This window comes from Homo sapiens, chromosome 11 (assembly GCF_000001405.40).
Source record: "Homo sapiens chromosome 11, GRCh38.p14 Primary Assembly".
NCBI lineage: Eukaryota > Metazoa > Chordata > Mammalia > Primates > Hominidae > Homo > Homo sapiens.
In genome coordinates this window covers 63,204,429-63,231,736 of record NC_000011.10, presented here as the reverse complement: position 1 = coordinate 63,231,736, position 27,308 = coordinate 63,204,429, and the positions used below count along the sequence as shown (strand labels likewise).

The window sequence follows — 27,308 nt, the reverse complement described above, 5'->3', positions numbered from 1 at the left end:
CTAGGCAATACCATTCAGGACATAGGCATGGGCAAGGACTTCATGTCTAAAACAACAAATGCCAAAATTGACAAATGGGGTCCAATTAAATGAGAGAGCTTGTGCACAGCAAAAGAAACTACCATCAGAGTGAACAGGCAACCTACAGAATGGGAGCAAAATTTTGCAATCTACTCATCTGACAAAGGGCTAATATCCAGAATCTACAATGAACTCCAACAAATTTACAAGAAAAAAAGAACCCCATCAAAAAGTGGGCAAAGTATATGAACAGATGCTTCTCAAAAGAAGACATTTATGCAGTCAAAAGACACATGAAAAAATGCTCATCACCACTGGCCATCAGAGAAATGCAAATCAAACCCACAATGAGATACCATCTCACACCAGTTAGAATGGCCATCATTAAAAAGTCAGGAAACAACAGGTGCTGGAGAGGATGTGGAAAAATAGGAACACTTTTACACTGTTGGTGGGACTGTAAACTAGTTCAACCATTGTGGAACACAGTGTGGTGACTCCTCAAGGATCCAGAACTAGAAATACCATTTGACCCAGCCATCCCATTACTGAGTATATACCCAAAGGATTATAAATCATGCTGCTATAAAGACACATGCACATGTATGTTTATTGTGGCACTATTCACGATAGCAAAGACTTGGAACCAACCCAAATGTCCACCAATGATAGACTAGATTAAGAAAATGTGCCACATATACACCATGGAATACTATACAGCCATAAAAAATGATGAGTTCATGTCCTTTGTAGAGACATGGATGAAGCTGGAAACCATCCTTCTCAACCAACTATCTCAAGGACAAAAAACCAAACACCGCATGTTCTCACTCATAGGTGGGAATTGAACAATGAGAACATTTGGACACAGGAAGGGGAACATCATGCACCGGGGCCTGTCTTGGGGTTAGGGGATGGGGGAGGGATAGCATTAGGAGATATACCTAATGTAAATGACTTGTTAATGGGTGCAGCGCACCAACATGGCACACGTATACATATGTAACAAATCTGCACGTTGTGCACATGTACCCTAGATCTTAAAGTATAATAAAAATAAATAAATAAATTTTTTTTAAAAGGGTGAACTGTATGGTAAATGAATTATACCTCAATGAGGTATACATTTTAAAGAATTTTAGTCCTAATCAAGGTGCAATTTTCTCCTATATTTTGTCTGCAATTCTTCCATAGCACATTGTGCGTCTCACATAATATTTACAATATCAGATTACAATTGTTTATGTACTCTATCTTACTCACTGAACTGCAAGATTTTTGAACCTGGTTGTACACATTATTCAAGATACTGACACAGAAAATGTCCCCACAAATAATATCTGAAAGAATCAATAAGCCAGTAAAAGTAAACCTCCATATGAGCTTAGCACTGGCTTACTACTCTGGTTCTTATCACTACCCACTCTCCCCACATTTGAAGTAATTTACTTCCAGTGTGAGTTTGTGGTATGCTTTGGCATGAAGCAGAACATCAGTCAACAAAATGGAAGGTTTGCACCATATTACTCATTTTAATTCAACTCAGATTGTGTTTATTAATCCTTAATCAAAAATTGGTACTTAACAAGAAAGACATTTGCTTTCTGTTCTTTTCACAGAGAAAAGAAAAAGCACTTTGCCTTTGAGTCCCACAGATTACACGTTCTGGAAAGACTGCATACCAAGTAGCAGATTTATTTTAGTTTGTTTACAAAAAAATGTGCAGACCAAAGTTCAATGCTGCTATTGGGGAGCTACTAAAGACATCAATAAGTAGATGTCTAATGTTTAAACACATTTCATTGAAAATGGTTGGAAGTATCTGAGCCAATTATTTCTTATGTGACCCTAAAGAAAACAGATACCTACCTGACCCCAAAACTACTTGAGGAAATTGCTTCCGTGACCCTGCTGCAGATGGGAGAGAGGGCCCATTAAGAAGAGAGTGGGGTCAGGATCAACACACACACTTAGTGTGATTTAAGGAAAGGAAATATTTTCTCTTTGAACTTATCTGGATACAGTCATTTTGTCTCCTCTTGGGGATCACTTGTCCAGCCTCAATGGCCTTTCAGGACCTCCTAGATCAAGTTGGAGGCCTGGGGAGATTCCAGATCCTTCAGATGGTTTTCCTTATAATGTTCAACGTCATAGTATACCATCAAACTCAGCTGGAGAACTTCGCAGCATTCATACTTGATCATCGCTGCTGGGTTCATATACTGGACAATGACACTATCCCTGACAATGACCCTGGGACCCTCAGCCAGGATGCCCTCCTGAGAATCTCCATCCCATTCGACTCAAATCTGAGGCCAGAGAAGTGTCGTCGCTTTGTCCATCCCCAGTGGAAGCTCATTCATCTGAATGGGACCTTCCCCAACACGAGTGAGCCAGATACAGAGCCCTGTGTGGATGGCTGGGTATATGACCAAAGCTCCTTCCCTTCCACCATTGTGACTAAGGTAAGAGGCCTCATTTTCCTCTCTTGTGTACATGACCTGGCTGTTTAGAATAACACAAGAAATGATTGTGCTTCCAGCCTTTAGTCACATGTAGGTGCTTATTCTTCATTCTTTCAGGAAACATTAATTGCTTCTCTACTGAATGCCAGATACCTGCACATTTAATGAGTCTAATGAATTCAAAAGTAGATGTGACCCTGCTATCATAGTGCTTTTATCCTTAGTAAAACCAAAATTTAAGCAAGCATTTATGAATAATGTGTTAAAAAATGTTCTGCTAAGTAAAGAATGCTCAGCCTGTGGTTGAAAATTATAAACCTCTGGGAAATCACTGAAAACCTCCAAGTCCAGACTATATCTTACAACAATCATATGAGAAAGTCTAGGGGTGAAATTTAGGCAACCAAAAATATTTAAAGGTTCTCAAATGATTTCACTGTGTGGCCAAGGTTGAGAACCATTTAGTATGGAATAAAACTGGGCACTAATAATATCTAAAAGTTTAGGAATAGCTTCCAAGAGAAAGTTGTGCTTAAGTTGAGACCTGAACAGTGAATATCAGGTAATGCAGAAAAGGGAAGCTAGGGAGGAAGATAGAATGAAACTTGCAGGCTATTTTAAGACATTTTGATAAGGTTACACTGAGGGGCTATAAGCATTGATATGAGGGTTTCCTTTTCTTCCAGTGGGATCTGGTATGCGAATCTCAACCACTGAATTCAGTAGCTAAATTTCTATTCATGGCTGGAATGATGGTGGGAGGCAACCTATATGGCCATTTGTCAGACAGGTGAGTGTCTATGGAGCATAGCTCTCTTCAAGGGTATTTTCATCAATTCATGAAACACTTTTCATCTAGAAATATTTTTGGAAATCACACTATCCTGTTGCTCCCTTGGTCCCCAGGGATTTGTAGACACAAAAGGAAAATTATGGTGAGTGTGGTGAGTGCTATTTTTTAAAATGTGTGTGCTGTGCACAAGACACAGAAATTTCATCTCCATCTGACCTGGGGGTGTTTCAAAATAGGGTTTGGATAAATCCCAGGGGAGGCAGAGCAAGATGACAGAACAGAAGCTTCCACTGATTGTCCTCCCCACAGGAATACCAAACTTGAAAACTATCTACACAAAAATGCACCTTCATAAGAACCAAAAATCAAGTGAATGATCATAGTACCTGATTTTAACTTCATTGAAGGGGGTAGGAAAGACAGTCTTGAATTGCTGACAACACTCCATCTCCATCCCCCAGCACTGGCCATGTGGCACAGAGAATCTGTGCACTTGGGGGAGGAAGAGCACAGCAATTACGGGACTTTGCATTGGGACTCAGTGCTGCCAACACAGGGCAGAACTCAGCCAGCACTCATGAAGGAAGCATTTAGACCAGCCATAGCCACAGAGGTGAATCACCCATCCCAGTGTCCAGAATATGAGTTTTGGTAAGCCTTGCCATCACAGGCTAAAGTGCTCTCGTCCTAAACAAACTTGAAAGACTGTGTAGGCCACAAGGACTGCAACTTCTAGGCAAGTTCTACTGCTGGGCTGGGCTAAGAGCCAGTGGACATGGGGAGCACAGGATCTAATGAGAAAACAGCTTGGGTGGCTAATGGAGTGCTTACATCACTCCCTCCCCAACCACAGACAATGCACCTTGCACCTCCAAAATAGACTCCTTCATTCCATTTGAGGAGAGGAGAGGGAAAAGTAAAGATGACTTTTTTTCACAACTTGGATACCAGCTCAGCCACAGTAGGAGAGGGCACTGGGCAGAGTCATGATCCCTTCATTTGAGGACCTAACTCCTGGATGACATTTCTAGACACACCCTGGGCCAGAAGGGAATCTGCTGCCTTAAAGAGAAGGGCCCAGTCCTGGCAGGAAATAGTACCTGCTAACTAAATATCCCTTGGCTCCTAAATAATCAGCAGTGGTAACCAGGTAATACATGTCATTGACCTTGGGAGAGACTCCGAGATATGCTGACTTCAGGTGTGGCCCAGCATATTCACATCTGTGGTGGCTACAAGGAGAGACTCCTTCTGCTTGAGAAAAGGAGAGGGAAGAATAAAGGGGACTTTGTCTTGCACCTTAGGTACCAGCTCAGCCGCAGTGGGGAAGACCACCAAGTAGGCCTTTGGGGTTCCCAATTCTAGGTCTTAGCTCTTGGGCAGCATTTCTAGACCTACTCTGGGCCAGATGGGAGCCCACTGCCCTAAAGGGTGAGTCCCAGGTCTGGAAGCATTCACCACAAGCTGACCAAACAGCCCTTGGACCATAAGTTAATAATCACCCTGGAAGTATTCCACATGGGCCTGTGGCGGTATTGGACACACAGACAGATTCCTCTTCTGGTGGAAAGGGGAGAGAAGAGTGGAAAGGATTTTGTCTTGTGGTTTTGGTGGCAGCTTAGCTGCAGTAGAATAGAATGATGGGTAGATTTATAAGGTTTCCAACTCCAAGCCCAGGCTCCTGTACAGCATCTCTGGATTTGCCTGGGGCCAAGGGGAACTTGCCACCCTGAAAGGAAGGACACAAGGTTGGCTGGTTTCACCACCTCCTGATTGTAGAACCCTAGGACCTTTAGCAAATATAGGTGGTAACAAGGAAATGCTTACCTTGGGCCTTGGCCAAGACCCAGTGCTATGCTGTCTTCAGGTCTGACCCAGGACAGTCCTAGTGGTAGTGGCCTCAGGGAGTTTTTGTCATCCCATCACTAGCTACAAGCAGCTCAGAACAGAGAGAAAGACTCCATTTGTTTGGGAGAAAATAAAGAAAAAAAACAAGAGTCTCTGCCTGCTGGTCCAAATAATTTTTCCAGATCTTATCCAAGACCACCAAGGCAGTCTGCAAGAACTACAGCATTACTATGTTTGGAGGCCCCCTAATGCAGATGTGGTTGCAGTGATCAAAAACTTAGATCACAACACTCAAGCCCCTTTGAATACCTGAAAAGTCTACCCAAGAAGGACGAGTATGAGCAAAGCCCAGACTGTGAAAACCACAATGAATATCTAACGTTTAAATGCCCAGGCACCAAAAAGCATCCACAAACATCAAGACCATCTAGGAAATCATGACTTCACTAAACAAACTAAATAAGGTACCAGGGACCAATATTGGAGAGACAGATATGTGACCTTTCAGATAGAAAATTCGAAATAATGGTATTGAGAAAAAATGAAGAAATTCAAGATAACACAGAGAAGGAATTCAGAATCCTATTAGATTAATTTACCAAACACATTGAAATAATTAAAAAGAATCAAGAAGCAGAAATTCTGGAGTTGAAGAAATGCAATTGACATATGGAAGAATGCATCAGAATCTCTTAACAACAGAATTGATCAAGCAGAAGAAAGAATTAGTGAGCTTGAAAACAGGCTATTTAAAAACACAGAGTCAGAGGAGACAAAAGTGAAAAGAATTAAAAAGAAGGAAGCACTCCCACAACATCTAGAAAATCATCTCAAAAGGTTAAATCCAAGGGTTATTGGCCTTCGAGAAGGCAGAGAGAGAGACAAGGGTAGACAGTTTATTCAAAGAGCTATTAAGAGAGAACTTCACAAATACAGAGAAAGATATCAATATTCAAGTACAAGAAAATCATAGGATATCAAGCAGATTTAACCCAAAGAAGACTACCTCAAGGTATTAATAATCCAACTCCCTAGGTCAAGGATAAATAAAGAATCCTAAACACGCAAGAGAAAAGAAACAAATAACATCCAATGGAGACCCAATATGTCTGGCAGCAGACTTTTCCATGCAAACCTTACAGGCCAGGACAGAGTGGCATGATATACTTAAAGTGCTGAAGAAGAAAAAAAACTTTTACCCTATAATACTATATTTGGCAAAAATATCCTTCAAATATGAATGAGAAATAAAGAGTTTCCCAAACAAAGGCTGAGAGGTTTCATCAACACCAGACCTGTCCTACAAGAAATGCTAAAGGAAATTATTCAATCTGAAAGTAAAGAACAGTAATGAGCCATAAGAAATTATCTGAATGTATAAAACTCCCTGCTAGTAGTAAATACACAGAAAATCACAGGATATTATGACACTGTAATTGTGGCATATAAACTAACTAAAACAACTTTTTTATTTTATTTTATTTTTATTTATGTATTTATTTATTTATTTTGAGACGGAGTCTTGCTCTGTCACCCAGGCTGGAGTGCAGTGGCACAATCTCGGCTCACTGCAAGCTCCGCCTCCTGGGTTCACGCCATTCTCCTGCCTCAGCCTCCCGAATAGCTGGGACTACAGGCGCCCGCCACCACGCCTGGCTAATTTTTTGTATTTTTAGTAGAGACAGGGTTTCACCGTGTTAGCCAGGATGGTCTCCATCTCCTGACCTCAAGTTCCACCCACCTCTGCCTCCCAAAGTGCTGGGATTACAGGCGTCAGCCACCGCCCCCAGCCTAAAACAACCTTTTCAAGATATAGATAGTACAATAAAATATAAACAGAAACAAAGGTTAAAAAGCAGAGAGATCGAGGTAAAGTATGCAGTTGTATTAGTTTTCTTTTTGCCTGTTTGTTTTTCATGTTTATGCAATCTCTATTAACTATCAGTTTAAAATAATGAGTTATAAGATATTAATTGTAGGCCTCATGGTAACCTCAAATCTAAAAACATACAATGGATACACAAAAAATAAAAATCAAGAAACCAAAACATATCACCAGAGAAAATCACCTTCACTAAAAGGAAGACAGGAAGGAAAAAAAGAAGAAAGAGAAGACCACAAAACAACCAGAAAATAAATAACACAATGGCAGGAGTAAGTCCTTACTTATCAATAATATTATTGAATGTAAATGAACTAATCTCTGCAATCAAAAGACATAGAGAGACTGAATAGTAAAAACAAAAACAATGATCTGTTGCCTACAAGAAATGCATCTTATCTATACACACATAGACTGAAAATAAAGGGATGGAAAAAGATATTCCATACCAATGAAAACCAAAAAAGAGCAAGATTAGCTACGCTTATATGAGACAAAATAGATTACAAGACAAAAAAACGTAAAAAGAGATGATAAAGGGGTCAATTCAGCAAGAGGATATAAAAATTATAAATATATACGCACAACATTGGTGCACTCAGATACATAAAGAAAATATTACATATCAAAGAGAGAGATAGGCCCCAATATAATAATAGCTGGAGATTTCAACACCCCACTTTCAATATTGAACAGATCTTCCAGACAGAAAATCAACAAAGAAACATTGGACTTAACCTGAAATAATTTCAGGTATCTTCTCTGACCACACTGGAATAACAGAAATCAACAAGACAGATTCTGGAAACTATACAAATACATAAAAATTAAAGAGTATGCTCCTGAATGACTAGTGGGTATGAATAGATTAAGAAGGAAATTGAGAAATATATTGAAACAAATGATAATGGAAACGCAATATACCAAAATCAATGGAATACAGCAAAAGCGGTACCAAGAGGGAAGTTTAGAGCTATAAGTGCCTACATCAAAAAGGAAAAAATAAATTTCAAACGAACAACATAATGATGCATCTTAAAGAACTAGAAAAGCAAGAGCATATTAAATCAAAAATTAACAGAAGAAAATAAAGATCAGAGCAATAATAAAGGAATTTGAAATGAAAAAAAGAATGCAAAACAGCAACAAAACAAAACTTGGTTTTCTGGAAAGATAAACAAAATTGGCAAACCTTTAGCTAGACTAAGAAAAAAGAGAGAAACCCTATGTAAATAAAATCAGAGATGGAAAAAAGAGACATTACAACTGATACCACAGAAATTCAAAGGGTCATTAGAGGCTACTATTAGCAATTATGTGCCAATAAATTGGAAAATATACAAGAAATGGGTAAATTCCTAGATACATACAACCTACCAAGATTGAACCCTAAAGAAATCCAAAACCAGAACAGACCAATAACAAGTAATGAGATTGAAGCTGTAATAAAAAGTCTCCAGGTAAGGAAAAGCCTGGGACCTGATGACTTCACTGCTGAATTCTACCAAACATTTAAAGAAGTCATACGAATCCCAATCAAACTATTCCAAAAAATAGAAACAGAGGAAATATATTAAACTCATAATACAAGGTTAGTATTACACAGATACCAAAACCAGACAAAGACACCTCAAAAAAAAGAAAACTACAGGCCAATATGCCTGAAGAACATTGATGAAAAAATTCTCCACAAAGTACTAGCAAATTGAATTCAGCAACACATTAAAAAGATTTTTCATCATGACCAAGTGGGATTTTGAACCAGGGATACAAAGATGGTTCAAAATACAAAAATCAATTGATGTGATACATTATATCAATAGAATGAAGGACAGAAACCAGATGATCATCTCAATACTGAATAAACATTTGATAAAATTAAACATTGCTTCATGATAAAAAAAAACTCTCAAAAAAAAACTGGGTATAGAAGGAACATACTTCAACATAATAAAAGCCATATATGACAGACTCATAGCTAGTATCACATGAAATGGGGAAAAAATTGAAAGCCTTTTCTCTAAGATCTGAAACACAACAAGGATGCCCACATTCACCCTTGCCATTTAAAATAGTACAGGAAGTCCTAACTAGAGCAATCAGACAAGAGAAAAATATAAATAGCACCCAACTGGAAAAGAAGAAGTCAAATTATCCTTGTTTGCAGACTATATGATCTTCTATTTGGAAAAACATAAAGCCTCCACCAAAAAACTATTCAAATTGATACCCAAATTCTGTAAAGTTGCAGGATAAAATATCAACATACAAAGATCAGTAGCATTTCTATATGCCAACAGTGAAAAACCTGGAAAACAAATCAAGAAAGTAACCCCATTTACAATAGTGACAAATAAAATTAAATACCTAGAATATAACCTAAGAAGTGAAAGATCCCTACAATGAAAACTCTAAAATGTTGGCGAAATAAATTGAATGGGACACCAAAAATGGAAAGATATTCATGTCCGTGGATTGGAATAATCAATATTGTTAAAATGTCCATACTACCCAACACAATCACAGATTCAATGCAATCTCTATCAAAATACCAATTACATTATTCTCAGATGTAGAAAACACAATTCTAAACTATATATGAAACCACAAAAGACCCAGAATAGCCAAAGCTATCATGAGCAAAAAGAACAAAACTGGAAGAATCACATTACCTGACTTCCAATTATACTACAGAGCTATCGTAACCAAAACAAGATGTACTGGCATAAAAACACATGCATAGACCAATGGAACAGAATGGAGAATCCAGAAAAAAATCCATACATCTACAGTGAACTCATCATCAACAAAGGTGCCAAAAACATACATTGGGGAAAAGGACAGTCTCTTTAATACACAATGCTGGGAAACTGGATATCCACATGCAAAAGAATAAAATTAGACCCCTATCTTTGGCCATATATAAAAATTAAATCAAAATGAATTAAAAATTTAAATCTAAGACCTCAAACTATGAAACTAATGCAAGAAAACATTGGGTAAACTCTCCAGGACATTGGACTGGGCAATGATTTCTTCAGTAATACACAACAAGCACAGGCAAACGATGCAAAAATGGAGAAATTGGATCATATCAAGTTCAAAAAACTTCTGTACAACAAAGGAAACAATCAACAAAGGGAAGAGACAACCCACAGAATGGGAGGAATTTTGCAAGTTACCCATCTGATAAGGGATTAATAACCAGAATATATAAGGAGTGTGCACAACTCTGTAGGAAAAAAAATCTAACAATTTAATTTTTAAATGGGTGAAGTATCTGAAGAGACATTTCTCAAAAGAAGACACACAAAAAACAAACAGGTATATGAAAATGTGCTCAACATCATTGGTCATCAGAAAAAATGCAAATCAAAACTACAGTGAGATATCATCTCACCTCAGTTAAAATCGCTTGTATCCAAAAGGCAGGCAATAATAAATGCTGGTGAGGATGTGGAGAAAAGGGAACCCTCATGAACTGTTGGTGGGAATATAACTTAGTACAACTCCCATGGAAAACAATTTGGAGGTTCCTCAAAAAGTTAAATGTAGAGCTACTATATGATTCAGCAATCCCACTGCTAGGTACACACCCAAAAAGGAAATCAGTATAGCAAAAGGAAAGGATATCTGCTCTCCATGTTTATTGCAGCACTATTCACAATAGCCAAGATTTGGAAGCAACCTAAGTGTCCACAACAGATGAATGGATAAAGAAAATATGGTACATATACAAAGTAGAGTATTATTCAGCCATAAAAAAGAATGAGATCTTGTCATTTGCAACAACATGAATGAAACTGTAGATCATTATGTTGAGTGAAATAAGCCAGTAAAAGAAAGACAAACTTCACATGTTCTCACTTATCTGTAGATCTAAAAACTAAAACAATTAAACTCATGGACATAGAGAGTAAAATGATAATTACCAGAGACTGGGAAGGGCAGTAGTGGGTGTGTCAGGGGGAAAGTGGGCATGGTTAATGGGTACACAAAAAAATGGAAAGAATGAATAAGACCTAGTATTTGATCACACAACACGGTGACTGCAGTCAGTAATAATTTAATTGTACACTTTAAAATAACTAAAAGAGTATAATTGGATTGTTTGTAACACAAAGGATAAATGCTTGAGGTGATGGGTGCCCCATTTACCCTAATGTGATTATAACACATTGTATGTCTGTTTCAAAATCTCTCATATACTCCATAAGTATACACACCTACTATGTACCCACAAAAACTAAAAATTTAAAATTTTTCCAAAGACAGAGTTTGGAAAGAAAGTGCCACAACATTTGGTTTAGAAAGATGAAACAGAGTTATCTATGGGAACAGAAAGGAACATGTTTCACGACATGGAATTCAGCCTCAGCAAGGGGTACCATGTGCAGTCCCTCCTGGACATTGTGTGCTGATGGCTTGTGCCTGGAGCATGATCATTAGATCATAGTTCCAAGTGTGATGGGGCAGACATTTTTCTAAAATCTGCAGGGTACATTTCAAGGTGTCATTGATGGTGTCCTGAGAAATCATGCCTGGATTCTTGATTTTTTTTGTCTTTGCAAAAACAGCTTTTTAGAGGTATTACAACCTCTACCTTACAACAAAAGGTAAGTAATCTAAGGACAATATTGTCACAGTCTGTGACATGAGAAGTTTGGGGTACCCTCTAACTTACCGTATGTCTTCTGAAATGGCAGGAAACCATTATCATCGCCCAACCATGTCTCCACTGATTGTGACGAGGGACTTGAGGTGCCCATTGCCATCCACCAGCATCACGTCTTCTGGTATCTCTCCTGAAACCCTGAATGTATGACAGTAAAAGTAACACTTAAAAGAGTTGAGAGTCAGAGGGTTGATTTCCAACAGTCCAGTAACCCAGCTCTCTGGGACAGTGCCATGAGAAAATGCAGATAAACCAATTTTAATGGATCATAGGGTGGTGCAAGATAAGGTAGTGGTACCAGGCAGGAGATGACAGTGGAGAACCAGCTGAAGTTGACGGGGCAAGGTAATCTAAGGATTTGGAGCTTTATCACAAACCTGGGGGGAAATATTAATTGATCATATGCAGAGACAGCCATGATCAAATTGATACTTTGGATATAACACACTCAACTGTTCATGATATCCCCAAACTAGAAATACTGTAGAATTTCATTAATAATAGAATGAATAAATAAGATGCAGGATATTCACATAGTGGATTTTTATACAGAAAAAGGAATGAAGAACTTACTCTGTACCATAACATGGATGAATACCAAAATCATTTTGTTTGCCACAAGAACAACCAAAAATGATTGCACACGATACCACTTCACTTATGTAAACGTCAAAGAAAAGCAACGATGGTGTTGGGAGTCAGAAAGGTGATTCTCTTTAGGATTTCATTGGGATTGCATTAAATCTATATAGCAGTTGGTAAAATTGCCATTTTAAAATATTGAATTTTATAGGCTGTGAATGTAATAACACTCTCCATTAATTTATATTTTCTTAAATTCCCTTTGCAATATTTTATGGTTTATAGAAAAAAGTCATGCATTTTTCCATTAAATTTATTCTAATTAACTTAGTTTTTGAGGCCATAAAGTTGTTCATCACAATTTTAATTTCTAATTAGTCATAGCTACTATATATGAAGGTAATTGTCTTTTTCTATATTAAGCTTACATCCTTCCAACTTGATAATTAGTTCTAGTAGCATTTTGTGGATTCCCTAAAATTTTCCACTACAAAATCATGCCATCTGCAAGAACATGTGAGTGCATGTGTGTTTTTGGTAGAACAATTATTTTTCTATCTTTTGCTTTTTATTATCTTTCTGGCAGTAGCTAGGACCTTCAATACAGTAACAAATGACAATTGGCAAGAGCTGAAATTCTGCCTCACCACATGCCACATTGTCCAAGTTGTCTACAGAGAGGTCCTCTTTCCCAGAAAATAATAAAACACAGAATTTCCTTTTTATTTTTTTAACCCTCCCCTGAAAATCTTAACCCACTCTGATGTATTGTTTCATGGATGTTCCTTTCACATCCATTTACCTATGGCCTGCACAGTCCTAGAATTTCATGTATAGAATTAGATCTCTTGCCTCCCAGCCACTATACAGACTCTCTAGTGTGCTAAAGTACATAGGAGAGAACTTGTGTTCATGGTGCACTGTATGTTAATACAGGAGATATTTCTCTTTTTTTAATTTCAACTTTTATTTTAGATTCAAGGTGTGCATGTGCAGGTTTGTTACATGAATATATTGCATGATGCTGAGGCTAGGGGTATGAATGAACCCATCACCCAGGTAGTTAGCATAGTACCCAATTGGTAGTTTCTCAAACCCTTTTCCCCTCCCTCCCTGCCAACTCTTGTAGTCCCCAGCATCTATTGTTCCCTTCTTTATGTCCCTGTGTACTTAACGTTTAGCTCCCCCTTATAAGTTGAGGACATTGTAATGTTTGGTTTTCTGTTCCTACATTAATTCACTTAGGAAAATGGCCTCCATCTGCATCCATGTTGCTGCAGAAGACATGATTTCATTCTTTTTTGTGGCTACATAGTATTCCAGTCTACCATTGGTGGGCATTGAGGTTATTCCATGCCTTTGCTACTGTGAATAGTGCTTCAATGAACATGTGAGTGCGTGTATCTTTTTGGTAGAACAATTTGTCTTCACAAGGGACATTTCTGGTGTGTTAACATTTCAACATCCCAGCCTGTCTTACATGTTTTGAATTTGTATCAATGATCTACTGGCAACAGATTGGAGAAGAAACTTTTATACACTCAGTATCTATTTACAAACAGAGAACATTCCTTCTGAGAAGACCTGCCATTGATTAACTGTTGATTCTTTAACGTTTTAAGTGTAAAGTTTCACTTGTTAAACATCCTTTAAGTTTCAAAGTGTGCTTTCCCTTTGCTAACATTTCCCAAAGGTTGTTATTGTTCCCATTATCTAATGTGCCCCTGTTTCTCAGGTTTGGGAGAAAGTTCGTGCTCAGATGGTCTTACCTCCAGCTCGCCATTGTAGGCACCTGTGCGGCCTTTGCTCCCACCATCCTCGTATACTGCTCCCTGCGCTTCTTGGCTGGGGCTGCTACATTTAGCATCATTGTAAATACTGTTTTGTTAAGTAAGTCAATATTTTCGATCCACATTTTCCAAGCCTTGGCTTTGACATTGAAGCTCCACCTGTATTTAAAGCTAAATCTTGTTTGTGTTTTCTTTCAGTTGTAGAGTGGATAACTCACCAATTCTGTGCCATGGCATTGACATTGACACTTTGTGCTGCTAGTATTGGACATATAACCCTGGGAAGCCTGGCTTTTGTCATTCGAGACCAGTGCATCCTCCAGTTGGTGATGTCTGCACCATGCTTTGTCTTCTTTCTGTTCTCAAGGTATTGAGCTTGCATTCTTCTTTTGCCATATGACATCCTTGAATGCAGATGTACATGGAATGAGGACATGAATTCCATTTGATCCTCTATCTAGCCTTGAGTACATTCTCCTAATCTGTGCTAAATATGCAATTCAAGAAGCAAAACACAAAGGGTTTCCTGATGAAATTAAGGACAGTTAATTAAATTTGAATATAAGATAATCAACAAATACTTCTGAAAAATATCCAAATATTGCAAGGGATGCAATAAAACTCAAAATTATTCACTGTTCATAGGAAATTTTATTTCACCCAAATATTCAGTATTTTATTTAACTGAATAAAACATAGGAGGTTCCATTTAATTCAAATTTCAGATAAAGAACAAATAATTTTTAGTGTAATGATATCCAAAATATCTCATGGGACATGCTTATACTAAAAAAATCATTGCTGCTCATTAGAAATTTAAATTTATCCATACCACTTTTTTTATAAGAAAATCTTTTTTAACTTTTATTTTAAGTTCAGGGGTACATGTGCAGGCTTGTTACATAGGCAAACTTGCATAATGAGGATTCGTTGTACAGATTATTTTATCACCTAGGTATTAAGCCTAATACCCGTTTGTAATTTTTCCTGATCCTCTCCCTCCTCCCACCTTTAGCTCCCACTTATAAATGGGAACATGTGGTATTTGGTTTTCTGTTCCAGCATTTAGTTTGCTAAGTATAATGGCCTTCAGCTCCATCCATGTCCCTGCAAAGGACACAATCTTGTTCTTTTTTATGGCTGCATAGTATTCCATGGTGTATATATGTACCAATTTTCTTGGTCCAGTCTATCACTGATGGGCATTTAGGTTGATTCCATGTATTTGTTATTGTGAATAGTGCTGCCATGAACATACGTGTGCATATGTCTTTATAGTAGAAGAGTTTCTAGTCCTTTGGGTATATACCCAGTAATGGGACTACTGGGTTGAAAGGTATTTCTTTCTTTAGGTCTTTGAGGAATCACCACACTGTATTCCACAATGGTCGAATGAATTTACACTCCCACCAACAGTGTAAAAGCATTCCTTTTTCTCCGCAACCTAGCCAGCATCTGTTACTTTTTGACTTGTTATTAATAGCCATTCTGATTAGTGTGAGATGGCATCTCATTGTGGTTTGATTTGCATTTCTCTAATGACCAGTGATATTGAGCATTTTTTCATAATAGTCGGTCATATGTGTGTCTTCTTTTGAAAACTGTTGCAAATGTTCATTACAGCTCTATCAACAATAACAAAAACATGGAATCAACCTGAATGCCCATCAATGACAGATTAATGAAAATGTGGTACTTACACACCATGATTATGCAACCATAAAAAAGAATGAGAGTATGTCTTTTGCAGGAACATGGATGGAGCTGGAGGGTATCATCCTTAGCAAACTAATACAAGAACACAAAACCAAATACATGGTTTCACTTATAAATGGGAGCTAAATGATTAGAACTTATGAACACAAAGAAGAAAACAATAAACACTGGGGTCCACTTGAGAGGGGAGTTTGGAAAGAGAGAGAGAAGCAGAAAAGATAACTATGGGTACTGGGATTAATACCTGGGTGATGAAAAAATATGTACAACAAACTTCCATAATACATGTTTACCTGTGTAACAAACGTTCACATGTGCCCCAAATCTAAAATAAATTAAAAAAAGAAAAGTGTCTGTCCATGTCCTATGCCCACTTTTATTTTATTATACTCTAAGTTCTGGAATACATGTGCAAAACGTGCAGGTTTGTTACACAGATATACATGTGCCATTGTGGTTTGCTACACCCATCAACCCACCATTGACATTAGGTATTTCTCCTAATGCTATCCCTCCCCTAGTCTCCCATCCCACAACAGGCCCCAGGATGTGATATTCCCCTCCCTGTGTCCATGTGTCCTCATTGTTCAACTCCCACTTATGAGTGAGAATATGTGGTGTTTGGTTTTCTGTTCCTGTATTAGTTTGCTGAGAATGATGGTTTCCAGCTTAATCCATGTCCCTGCAAAGGACATGAACTCATCCTTTTTTATGGCTGCATAATATTCTATGGTGTATATGTGCCACATTTTCTTTATCCAGTCTATCACTGATGGGCATTTGGGTTGGTTCTAAGTCTTTGCTATTGTGAATAGTTCTGCAATAAACATATGTGTGCATGTGTCTTTATAGTAGAATGATTTATAATCCTTTGGGTATATACCCAATAATGGGATTGCTGGGTCAAATGTTATTTCTGGTTCTAGATCTTTGAAGAATCACCACACTGTCTTCCACAATGGTTGAACTAATTTACACTTTTACCAACAGTGTAAAAGTGTTCCTATTTGTCCACATCCTCTCCAGCATCTGTTGTTTCCTGACTTTTTAATGATTGCCATTCTAACTGATGTGAGATTGTTGTGGGATTGTTAAGGAATCAGAGAGACTGATGGGGTTCAGGAGGATATTTATTATTTAGGTGCACTGGCCCAGTCAAATTAACATCCAAAGGACTGAGCCCTGAACAAAGAGTTAAGTTACCTTTTAAACATTTCGTGGGGTGGGGGGAGATCTGTGCAGGGGGAAGCATATTACAGAAGTGAGAAACAAAGACAGTTATTCAATTAATTGAGACATGCATTACATCATTTCTTACTTTTCAAGGAAAAACATGTTTTACAACTTGAGTTTATCTGTCTAGTGACCTTGCAGCTGCACAGCTAGAGAAACAGGGTCTTCACAATGCTTGGGAAAGGAGGAGAGATAAGGCTCACTAGCAACAGAAAAACAGGCAGTTAATTTTTAAAAGACTCCAGCTCTTTCTGTTTCTCAGGGGGAATTGGGTTTTCTTACATGCAACTGAGTTTCTGCTTACACATTCTTTAATTTCTTTTAATTCCTGTTCCATTCCTTCCTTTGGTGCTTTTTATAACAAAAGTGTTAATAGAAAGCACCACTGTTTGCCACCTCTTCACGGAGCTGCGCTTCTTCTACTGGCAGCGGCTGATATTTTGTTAATGCTATCAACTGCGCAGTAGTGTGTCAGGTTACTATTGCCTCTATAGTTGACTGTATACTCCTAACAAACTGGGTTAAAGGGCAAAGGAGGATGAGGCAGATACCAAGAATAAGCAAGAACCCACCAGAGGGTTTTGAATCCTCCAAAAGCTAAGAACCATCCTCCAAACAAGGAATCTGGGGACCACCTGGACCAAATCTGAACTGGAACATGGACCAACTTGTTCATTCTAGCTGTGATTTCCATGACAGCTAAGCCATTATCATCAATTTCTTGGCAACAGTTGGTTAAATTAAATTTTCCATGTACTCCTCCTTCTGAGGCTTTTAATTCAGCCTTCTGAGTGGAAGTCCCAGAAGGTAAGGCTTGAGCCTCGACTACCGAGTGTTGGATCACTACTACATACCTTGCATATCGCACCCCATCTGTTATGAAACTGCTACCATCAGTGAAGTATTCAACATCTGGCCTCTCCAAGGGGGTATCTCTGAGATCTTCCCGGCTCGAGAACACTTCGTCCACCATATTTATGCAACAGTGGGGAAGGTCCTGCCAGCAGTGAGGCAACCCACTGCCCTTCCAATCGGGTTTCTCCACAGACAGCAGGGTAGCTGGGTTCAAGGTATTTATAGTCTCTAGTGTTATCTGGGGATTTTCACACAGAAGTCCTTGATACTTTAGCATTCTAGAATTGGACAGCCAACGATGTCCTCTTGGCTCCATTAAGGTGACTACAGCGTGTGGCACCCGAACTATTAACTTCTGACCTAGGGCTAGCTTGTTGGCATCTTCTATAAGGATTGTGGTAGCCACCAATGCCCTGAGGCATTGGGCCAACCTAAGGCCATGAAGGTCCAGTAAGCTACCAGCTGATGCCAACAGCCCAACAACTGAGTTAAGACTCCCACTGCCATTCCCTTTCATTCATCCACATACAAAAAGAAGGGCTTTTTTTACATCTGGCAACCCAAGTGCTGGGGCCTGGATGAGAGCTTCCTTTATATCCTTGAAGGCCTTTTCCTGTTCCTTTTCCCATAGGAGGGGCTCTCTTTCCTTTCCTTTGATAGCCTCATATAAGGGAGGAGCCTTGCTATAAGGGAGAAGTTTGGAATCCAGATTCGGCAGAATCCTGCCACACCTAGAAATTCCCTGACCTGCCACTTGTAACTGGGGTGGGCAATGCACATACAGCCTCCTTGTGTGCACTTCCAAGCCTGGGCTGGCCTTGGGATACCATGAATCATAGATATCCAACCTCTCAAAAACAGACTTTTGCCTTGTCCTTGGACACTTTATAACCAGCTTCACACAGCAGGTGAAGAAGCCTCTCTATTCCTTGGAGGCATTCCTCCCTCATGGGGACAGTGAATAACAAATCATCAATGTATTGTAATAGCACACAATTGTCACTAGGTGGTGCAAAAGCCTCAAGATCTGTGGCCAAGGCCGCCTCAAAAATGGTAGAATTTTTTTTTTTTTAAATTATACTTTAAGTTTTAGGGTACATGTACACAACGTGAAGGTTTGTTACATATGTATACATAAGCCATGTTGGTACGCTGCACTCATTAACTCATCATTTAACATTAGGCTATCCCTCCCCCCTCCCCCACCCCACAACAGACCACAGTGTGTGATGTTCCCCTTCCTGCGTCCATGTGTTCTCATTGCTCAATTCCCACCTATAAGTGAGAACATGTGGTGTTTGGTTTTTTGTCCTTGTGATAGTTTGCTGAGAATGATGGTTTCCAGTTTCATCCATGTCCCTACAAAGGACATGAACTCATAATTTTTTATGGCTGCATAGTATTCCATGGTGTGTATGTGCCACATTTTCTTAATCCAGTCTATCATTGGTGGACATTTGGGTTGGTTCCAAGTCTTTGCTATTGTGAATAGTGCCACAATAAACATACGTGTGCGTGTGTCTTTATAGCAGCATGTTTTATAATCCTTTGAGTATATATCCAGTAATGGGATGGCTGGGTCAAATGGTATTTCTAGTTCTAGATCCCTGAGGAATCGCCACACTGTCTTCCACATGGTTGAACTAGTTTACAGTCCCACCAACAGTGTAAAAGTGTTCCTATTTCTCCACATCCTCTCCAGCACCTGTTGTTTCCTGACTTTTTAATGATCGCCATTCTAACTGGTGTGAGACGGTATCTCATTGTGGTTTTGATTTGCATTTCTCTGATGGCCAGTGATGATGAGCATTTTTTCGTGTGTCTTTTGGCTGCATAAATGTCTTCTTTTGAGAAGTGTCTATTCATATCCTTCGCCCACTTTTTGATGGGGTTGTTTGTTTTTTTCTTGTAAATTTGTTTGAGTTCATTGTAGATTCTGGATATTAGCCCTTTGTCAGATGAGTAGATTGCAAAAGTTTTCTCCCATTCTGTAGGTTGCCTGTTCACTCTGATGGTAGTTTCTTTTGCTGTGCAGAAGCTCTTTAGTTTAATTAGATCCCATTTGTCAATTTTGGCTTTTGTTGCCATTGCTTTTGGTGTTTTAGACATGAAGTCCTTGCCCATGCCTATGTCCTGAATGGTATTGCCTAGGTTTTCTTCTAGGGTTTTTAAGGTTTTAGGTCTAAGATTTAAGTCTTTAATCCATCTTGAATTAATTTTTGTATAAGGTGTAAGGAAGGGATCCAGTTTCAGCTTTCTACATATGGCTAGCCAATTTTCCCAGCACCAAAAATGGTAGGAGAATTCTTAAACCCTTGCGGCAGCCTTGTCCAGGCATATTGCAATTGCCCCCACTGGCAGGCAAATATAGGCTGACTTTGGGGAGCAAGCTTCAAACAAAAGAAGGCATCCTTTAAGTCCAGACATGTGAACCACGTGGCCTCAGCAGGAATCTGTCCCAACATTGTGTAAGGGTTGGGTACTATGGCATGGATAGTCACAGTGGCCTTGTTTACCGCCTGGAGATCCTGCACTGGCCTGTATTCACCTTTTGGCTTGCTCATGGGCAGCAGAGGAGTATTCCAGGAGGACTTGCATTTCACTATAATCCCATGTTCATAGAGCTGATTTAGATGTTTTGTTATTCCTTCAATTTCCTCTCTAGGTAGTGGGTATTGACGGACTCATACCGAGGCAGCATGAGGGTTAAGCTCTACTACCACCCAGGGGTCTGTTTGCAGCAAGTCCAGGGGGGTTTTCCTCAGCCTATACACGTGGTACCTTGAAAAGCATCCCCCACATATTGTGTAGGTCTGGCTCCAGTGGCCTTCTGGCACACAGTTCATAGAGCTGCCACTCCTCAGCCCTTGGGACAGTCAGGGTCAATACCCATTGCCTTTAGCACCTCTATCTCCAGGGTCATATTCCCTTTAGGTATAAAGGAAATTTGTGCCTGCAGTTTCTGGAGTAAGTCTCTCCCTAACAAGAGCACTGGACAATTTGGCATATATAGAAACTCATGCTGTACTTTTTGTGCCCCAATAACACATCCCCTGGATTTGCATAAAGGTTTCTTTTCTTTGGCCCCAGTAGCCCCTACGATAGTAGCACAGTTCTTCGTGGAGGGGCTAATTGGGTGAGTTACCACAGAGTAATCAGCACCAGTATCAACCAAAAAATCCATTAATCGGCCCCCTACTTCCATAGACACCATAGGCTCCCCATGGCCTAAAAATATGGAGCCCAGTCTGTCTCAGTCCTCAAAATTCTCAGCCCCCTAAGCCAATCAGGTCAGGATCTGCCTTTCAGACATGAATAGCAACAGAATGCCACACTCGGGTGTTAGACAATTGACCATCATCTCCATCCTTTTCCTTTTCGGGGCACTCATCTTTCCAGTGGCCCATTTGCCTGCATCTTGCACATTGGTTCCTGTCCAACCAAGACTGGCCTTCCTCTCCTGGTCTTGTCTTCCCCCTTCCTCAGCCTCTGCCTCAGCCATGCCCTCTAGCAAATCCAGGGTTAATTTCTGCTAGTGCAGCAGCTATAAATCAAGCTGTCTCTTTGTTTCTATTTCTGGTTTTTCTTTCTTCCTTTCTTCCCGGTTTATGTATACTTTGTTTGTTATTTCCAGGAGTTCACTAATGTGTTTCCCTGCAAAGCCTTCCGGCTTCTGAAGGTTTCATCTTATGTCTCCCTGAGCTTGCCTGACAAAGGTCATTTTTATCATATTTTGGTTTTCAGGAGCCTCTGGAATAATTGGAGAGTACAGCCTATATGCCTCGCAAAGCCTTTCATAGAATGCACTTTGGCTTTTGTCAGGCTTTTGGCACACTTCTGATATTTTACTCATATTCATTGCCTTCCTTCCTCCTGCTTTTTTCCCATTTGGGAGTGCCTTTCTATATAGCTGCAGCCATTCCATGTCCCTTGCCTCATTTGGGTATTGCTCCACAGTGAACTGGCATGGGTTAGGGGTGGCCTCTGGGGCTTCCCCTTCTAACCAGCTGAGAGCTGCCTGATTAACTCTCCTATGCTCCTCTGTATTAAATAAAGTTAGCAAAAGTTGTTGACAATCTGGTCAGGTTGGGTTGTGTGTCATAATAATAGAATTCACCAAATCAATGAGGGCCTGAGGCTTTTCTGTATAGGAAGGGGTGTGCTGTTTCCAATTTAAGAGATCAGTAGTGGAGAAAGGCTGATAAACGTAAACCCTAGAGCCACCTTGTGTCTGCCCCTGGTCATCATAAACTTGTATCCTGGTCTCTCAAAGTGGCATCTGCAAAGCCTGTGGTTCGCCTGAGCAGAGGTGCCCAGCTGCCTCGCCCTGTCCATCTTCCCTGTTTTTTTCTAACGGGGGCTTCTGTTACTCTTTCAGGGGAGACTGAGCCTCACTTTCCTCCAAGCCTGACTCTCCAGATGCTCCTGACTCTGCCTCCTGCCTTATTCTGGCCAAAGACGGGTAGACTGGCACATATGGGGGCCGACATTCTCTTTCCTCTGGTGGGGCCTGAAGAACTGGTTTTGGCTGAGGCTTCAGGGATTCCTTTTCCTGGGAGATGCTAGGGGCTTTAGGTTCCTCTGCTTTCTTTGGTTGGGTGCCCGAGCCACTAATGCCTTGCAGTATCCCTCTAGGCAGGGCTGTAAACAATTGGGGCTAGTTTGTGCCACACTGAGCCAAGAGTCTATATAGGGAAACTGGTCTGGGTATCCTGGTTGTCCTCCAACTCCAGTGACCACCTTAAACACACGGCCAATTAATTTCCTGTCTTTTGTACCTTCAGAGGGCCACCCCACATTGAAAGCAGGCCAATCTATCTCACAATACGTCCTTAATTTTTGAGCATCCAGTTTCATGCCATAATCACCTCTAAATCCTTTTTTTAAATACTTTATCATGCACTCCAAAGGAGTTGGTTTTGACACTTTCCCTCCCATTTCCTCCCTTGTGGCACACTTTCACTCTTGGGTCCACCAGACCGGGTCCTGTTATGGGAGTTTTGGATGCTGCTTAGCCAGGAACGTGCCTTCCCCTGTCACAGCCTGCTACAGCCATGAAGCTGGCCATGAAGCTGGTCCTATCAGCCATATGCAGCATCCTAGTTCTAATTTCCCCCACACTCACCTCCAAGCACACAGCCCCTGCTAAGGGATCTATGCCTCCTGTCACTCCCCACATTGGCCTCTCCCAACACTGTCTCTTTCACACACTTTCACACATCTCCCCTGCCCCAGGACTCCTCATCAGATGAAACAAGCCTCTCTCATGTCCCAGGTGAGCCTAGTTAGGCTCCCACATTCTCACACATACACACACCACTCCTACCCCAGGACTTCCTATCAGATGAAATGAGCCTCTCTCGTGTCCCGGGTAGGTTTACATGCACGCACACACTCCCAGTTCCTGTCTCCAGATCCAATGAACCACTTTCACTTTGTTAGTGGGGACATGAGGTTCATCCAAATTGGCAAGCGACTCCTGCCACCCCCAGCCATTCTGGGTTGGATTAGTGGTTGTTCCCTGGGAGGTGATGAAGCTCCCCTTTGTCCTTATGGGATGGGCTTCCCTGCCTTGGGCCCTTGCTCCTTACCATGGTTCCTGAAGTGCTGGTATCATACTGCAGCCCCACCCCTGGCTCCATTGCACTGCCAGGCAGGCTGCCAGGATGGGGGAAGAGCCAGTCTCCATCCAGGTGAAGCTCCCTCATGGTATGCCTTGGATGCCAGGTCTCCCATGGCCACAGGGCTGTAGTCCCACAGGCAAAGGAGACAGTAAATCTGTCATCTCCAATCCTGGATGAGTCCCCAGAAATGTTGCAGGATTGTTAAGGAATCAGAGAGACCAATGGGGTTCAGGAGGATAGTTATTATTTAGGTGTGCTGGCCCAGTCAGATTAGCATCCAAAGGACTGAGCCCTGAACAAAGACTTAAGTTACCTTTTAAGCATTTCGTGGGGTAGGGGGAGATCTGTGCAGGGGGAAGCATATTACAGAAGTGAGAAACAAAGACAGTTATTCAATTAATTAAGACATGCATTACATCATTTCTTACATTTCAAAAACAAACATGTTTTACGACTTGAGTTTATCTGTCTAGTGACCTTGCAGCTACACATCTAGAGAAACAGGGTCTTCACAATGCCTAGGAAAGAAGGAGAGATAAGGCTCACTAGCCACAGAAAAATAGGCAGTTAATTTTTAAAGGACTCCAGCTCTTTCTTTTTCTCAGGGGGAATTGGGTTTTCTTACATACAGCTGAGTTTCTGCTTACACATTCTTTCATTTCTCTTAATTCCTGTTCCAAGATGGTATCACATTGTGGTTTTGATTTGCATTTCTCTAATGACCAGTGATGATGAGCTTTTTTTCATATGTTTGTTGGCTGCATAAATGTCTTATTTTGAGAAGTGTCTGGTCATATCCTTTACCCACTTTTTGATGGAGTATTTTTTTCTTGTAAATTTATTTAAGTTCCTTGTAGATTCTGGATATTAGCCCTTTGCCAGATGAATAGATTGCAAAAATTTTCTCCCCTTCTGAAGGTTGCCTGTTCACTCTGATGATAGTTACCAATGCTGTGCAGAAGCTCTTTAGCTTAATTAGATCCCATTTATCAATTTTGGCTTTTGTTGCCATTGCTTTTTGTGTTTTAGTCATAAAATCTTTGTCCATGCCTATGTCCTGAATGGTAATGCCTAGGTTTTCTTCTAGGGTTTTTATGCCTTTAGGTCTTACATTTAAGTCTTTAATTCATCCTGAGTTAATTTTTGTATAAGGTGGACCCCTCAGTTTTCTGTATATGGCTAGCCAGTTTTCCCAGCACCATTTATTAAATAGGGAATCCCTTCCCCATTGCTTGTTTTTGTCAGGTTTATCAAAGATCAGATGGTTGTGGATGTGTGAAATTATTTCTGAGGGCTCTGTTCTGTTCAAGTGGTCTATGTATCTGTTTTGGTACCACTGCCATGCTGTTTTGGTTACTGTAGCCTTGTAATGTAGTTTGAAGTCAGGTAACATGATGCCTCCAGCTTTGTTCTTTTTGCTTAACATTGCCTTGGCTACGTAGGCTCTTTTGTAGTTCCATATGAAATTTCAAGTACTTTTTTCTAATTCTGTGAAAAAGTCATTTGTAGCTTGTTGGGGATAGCATTGAATCTTTAAATTACTTTGGGCAGTATGGCCATTTTTATGATATTGATTCTATCCATGAGCACAGAATATTTTTCCATTGTTTGTATTTTCTCTTATTTCCTTGAGCAGTGGTTTGCAATTCTCCTTGAAGACATCCTTCACATCCCTTGTGAGTTCTATTCCTAGGTATTTTATTCTCTTTGTAGCAACTGTGAATGAGAGTTCACTCATGATTTGGCTCTCTGTTTTTCTATTATTTGTGTATAGGAATGCTTGTGATTTTTGCACATTGATTTTGTATCCTGAGACTTTGCTGAAGTTGCTTATCAGCTTAAGAAGATTTTGGACTGAGACAATGGGGTTTTCTAAATAAACAATCATACTGTCTGGAAACAGAGAGATTTTGACTTCCTCTCTTCCTGTTTGAATACCCTTTATTTCTTTCTCTTGCCTGATTGGCCTGGCCAGAACTTCCAATACTATGTTGAATAGGAGTAGTGAGAGACACCACCCTCATCTTGTGCTGGTTTTCAAAGGGAATGCTTCCAGCTTTTGCCCATTTAGTATGATATTGGCTATAGGTTCATAATAAATAGCTGCTATTATTTTGAGATACGTTCCATCAATAACTAGTTTATTGAGAGTTTTTAGCATGAAGTGGTGTTCAATTTTATTGAAGGCCTTTTCTGCATCTATTGAGATAATCATGTGGTTTTTGTCATTTGTTCTGTTTATGTGATGGATTTGCTTACGTGGAACCAGCCTTGCATCCCAGGGATGAAGCTGACTTGATGGTGGTGGATAAGCTTTTTGATGTGCTGCTGGATTCAGTTTGCCCATATTTTATTGAGGATTTTTGCACTAATGTTCATCAGGAATATTGGCCTGAATTTTTTTGTTGTGTTTCCAACGGGTTTTGGTATCAGGATGATGCTGGCCTCATAAAATGAGTTTGGGAAGAGTCCCTTTTATTCTGTTGTTTGGAATAGTTTCAGAAGGAAGGGTACCAACTTCTCTTTGTACCTCTGGTAGAATTCGGCTGTAAATCTTTCTGGTCCTGGCCTTTGGTTGGTTGGTAGGCTATTAATTACTGCCTCAATTTCAGAACTTGTTATTGGTCTATTCAAGGATTCAACTTCTTCCTGGTTTAGTCTTGGGAGAATGTATATGTCCAGGAATTTATCCATTTCATCTAGATTTTCTACTTCATTTGCATAGGGTTGTTTATAATATTCTGTGATGGCAGTTTGTATTTCTATGGGATCAGCAGTGATATCCCCTTTATCATTTTTTATTGTGCCAATTTGATTCTTCTCTCTTTTCTTCTGTATTAGTCCTGCTAGCGGTCTATTTTGTTATTTTTTTCAAAAAACAGCTGCTGGATTCATTGATTTTTTGAAGGGTTTTCATGGTTCTATCTCTCATTTCTGCTCTGATCTTAGTTATTTCTTGTCTTCTGCTAGCTTTTGAATTTGTTTACTCTTACTTCTCTAGTTCTTTTCATTGTGATGTTAGGATGGTAATTACAGATGTTTCCCACTTTCCTCTGTGGGCATTTAGTGCTATAAATTTCCCTCTAAACACTGTTTTAAATGTGTCCCAGAGACTCTGGTACATTGTATCTTTGTTCCCATCGGGTTCAGAAAATGTATTTTTTTCTGCCTTAATTTTGTTATTTACCCAATAGTCATTCAGGAGCAGGTTGTTCAGTGTCCATGTAGTTGTGTGGGTTTGAGTGAGTTTCTTAATCCTGAGTTCTAATTTGATTGCACTGTGGTCTGAGAGACTGTTTGTTATGATTTCCATACTTTTGCATTTGCAGAGGAATGTTTTACTTCCAATTATGTGGTCTATTTTAGAGTAAGGGTGATGTGGTGCTGAGAAGAATGTATATTCTGTTTATTTTGGCTGAAGAGTTCTGTAGATGTCTATTAGGTTGGCTTGGTGCAGAGCTGAGTTCAAGTCCTGAATATCCTTGTTAATTTTCTGTCTCATTGATCTATCTAATATTGACAGTGGGGTGTTAAAGTCTCCCAATATTATAGTGTGGGAGTCTAAGTCTCTTTGTAGGTCTCTAAGAACTTGCTTTATGAATGTGGGTGCTCCTGTATTGGGTGCATTTATATTTAGGATACTTAGCTCTTCTTGTTGCATTTATCCCTTTACCATTATGTAATGCCTTTCTTTGACTTTTTTGATCTTTTTTGGTTTAAAGTCTGAAGTCTGTTTTATCAGAGACTGGGATTACAACCCCTGCTTTTCTTTCTATTTGCTTGGTAAATATTCTTCCATCCCTTTATTATGAGCCTATGTGTGT

The 27,308-nt window shown here is 39.8% G+C and overlaps 1 protein-coding gene across 5 annotated transcripts in view; it reads left to right on the top strand.

Annotated features, from left to right (window-relative positions):
* SLC22A25 (solute carrier family 22 member 25) overlaps positions 1-27,308 on the top strand; it is an 85,163-nt gene that overhangs the window by 11,863 nt on the left and 45,992 nt on the right. For 4 of the 5 annotated variants that reach the window (NM_199352.6, XM_047426917.1, NM_001394059.1 and 1 more), the window contains exons 4-7: positions 1,641-2,486; positions 3,173-3,276; positions 14,002-14,156; positions 14,255-14,423. In NM_199352.6, coding sequence (NP_955384.3) covers positions 2,085-2,486; positions 3,173-3,276; positions 14,002-14,156; positions 14,255-14,423 — 830 coding nt within the window. In that variant the 5' untranslated portion in view covers positions 1,641-2,084. Of the gene's footprint in view, positions 1-1,640; positions 2,487-3,172; positions 3,277-11,715; positions 11,806-14,001; positions 14,157-14,254; positions 14,424-27,308 lie in introns of all 5 variants that reach the window. The other variant, XM_017017695.2, reaches the window with a different exon arrangement.